Genomic DNA, 2,786 nt, shown 5'->3' on the forward strand with positions numbered 1-2,786 from the left:
AAGTTGGGTCTTGTTATTTATTAATTTACTTTGTGGTGTGGATAGAGAAGGAGGATTAAATAATATAAATTTATTTTCTCACAATTCTGAAGTCTAGAAATCAAAGATCAGGGTATCTTTGGGATTGCCTTCATTCTGAAGCCTCTCTCCTTGGTTTGCAGATGGCTGCCTTCTTGCTGTGTCCTCTCATGATTTTTCCTCTGTTGAAAACATCCCTGGTGCCTGGTCTTGTTTTTTTATCCATTGGGCCACAATGGATAAAAAATTTTGATGGGTACTAGTAGGTGTATATATTTTAAAAATTTTTAAAACATTTTTGATGGGTACTATTAGGTGTATATATTTATGGGGTATATGAGCTACTTTGGTACAGGCATGCAATGCATAATAATCACATCATGGTAAATGGGGTATCCATCACCTCAAGAATTTATCCATTGTGTTACAAATAATCCAATTATACTATTTTAGTTATTTTAAAATGTACAATTAAATTATTATCAACTATGGCTACCTTGTTGTGCTATGAAATACTAGGTCTTATTCATTCTTTCTAAGTACTTTTTGAACCCATTAACCATCCCTACTCTTCTACCCCCCAACCTCCACTACCCTTCTCAGCTTCTGGTAACCATCCTTCTACTCTCTATCTCCACGAGTCCAATTGCTTTAATTTTTATCTCACACAAATAAGTGGAACAAGTGATGTTTGTCTTTTGGTGCCTGGCTTATTTCACTTAACATAATGACCTCTAGTTCCATCTATGTTGTTTAAAATGACAGGATTAGGCTGGGCACAGTAGCTTATGCCTAAAATCCCAGCACTTTGGGAGGCCATGTTAGGCAGATTGCTAGAGCCCAGGAGTTCTAGACCAGCCTGGGCAACATGGTAAAGCCTTGACTCTATAAAAAAAAAAAAAAAAAACAAAAATTGGCCAGGCACAGTGGCTCACACCTGTAATCCCAGCACTTTGGGAGGCTGAGGCAGGCAGATCATGAGGTCAAGAGATCGAGACCATCCTGATCAACATGGTGAAATGCCGTCTCTACTAAAAGTACAAAAATTAGCTGGACGAGGTAGCATGTGCCTGTAGTCCTGGCTCCTCAGGAGGCTGAGGCAGGAGAATCTCTTAAATCCGGAAGGCGGAGGTTGCAGTGAGCCGATATTGCGCCACTGCACTCCAGCCTGGTGACAGAGCGAGACGCCATCTCCCCATTCCCCCACCAAAAGATCTGGATGTGGTGGTGCATGACTGTAGCCCCAGCAACAAGGGAGACTGAGGTGGGAAGATCCCTTGGGCCCAGGAGGTGGAGGATGCAGAGAGCCATGAGCATGCCACTGCACTCCAGGCTGGGTGATAGCACAAGACCCACAAACAAACAAACAAACAAACAGACAAACAAACACAGGATCTCATTCATTTTTATGGCTACATAGTCCCCCATTACGTAAAAGTACCACATTTTCTTTTCCTTATCCATTCATCCATTCATCTTTAGATGGACACTGAGGTTGCTTCCAAATCTTGGTTATTGTGAACATTGTTGCAACAAACATAGGAGTACAGATATCTCTTCAATATACTGATTTCCCTTTTTGGGAGTGTATACCCAGCAGTGAGATTACTGGATCATATGGTAGCTCTATTTTTAGTTTTTTGAGGAATCTCCAAATGATTCTCCATAGTGGTTGTACTAATTTGTATTTCCACCAACAGTGTATGGGGGTTTCCTTTTCACTACATCCTTGCCAGCATTTGTTACTGCCTGTCTTTTGGATAAAAGCCATTTTAACTGGGGTGAGATGATACCTCACTGTGGCTTTGATTCACATTTCTCTGATGACCAATGATGTTGAGCACATTTTCATATGCCTGTTTGCCATTTGCATGTCTTATTTTGAGAAATAGTTATTCAAGTCTTTTGCCCATTTTTAAATCACATTATTAGAGTTTTTCCTATAAAGTTAGAGCTATTTATGTATTCTGGTTACTAATGCCTTATCAGATGGGCAGTTTGCAAATACTTTCTCCCATTTTGTGGGTTGTGTCTTCCCTTTGCTGATGGTTTCTGTTGCTGTGCTGAAGTATTTTTTAACTTGATATGATCCCATTTATCCATTTCTGCTTGTGTTTGTGGGGTAAGAAATTTTTTCCTAGACCAATGTCCTGGAGAGTTCCCCCAGTGTTTGCTTGTAATAGTTTAATAAATTGAGGTCTTAGATTTAAGTCTTTAATCCAGTTTGACTTGATTTTTGTATATGGCAAGAGATAGGGGTCTAGTTTCATTCTTCTGCATATGAATATCCAGTTTTCCTAGCACCATTTATTGAAGAGGCTATCTTTTCTCCAATGTATGTTCTTGGCACCTTTGTTGAAAGTATATTTACTGTAGGTGTATGAATTTGCTTCTGGATTCTCTATTTTGTTCCATTGGCCTATGTGTCTATTTTCATGCCAGTACTATGCTGTTTTGGTTACTGTAGCTCTGAGGCATAATCTGAAGTCAGGTAATATGATTCCTCCAGTTTTGTTCTTTTTGCTTGGGACAGCTTTGACTATTCTGTGTCTTTTATATTTCCATATAAATTTTAGAATTTTTTTTCTATTTCTGTAAATAATGTCATCGGTATTTTGATAAGGATTGTATTGAATGTGTAGATTGCTTTGGGTAGTAAGTATGAACATTTTAACAATATTGATTTTTCTAATCCATGAACATGGAATATCTTTGGATTTTTTGGTGTCCTCTTCAATTTCTTTAATCAATATTATATCATTTTCATT

Source organism: Homo sapiens, chromosome 7, assembly GCF_000001405.40.
Source record: "Homo sapiens chromosome 7, GRCh38.p14 Primary Assembly".
NCBI lineage: Eukaryota > Metazoa > Chordata > Mammalia > Primates > Hominidae > Homo > Homo sapiens.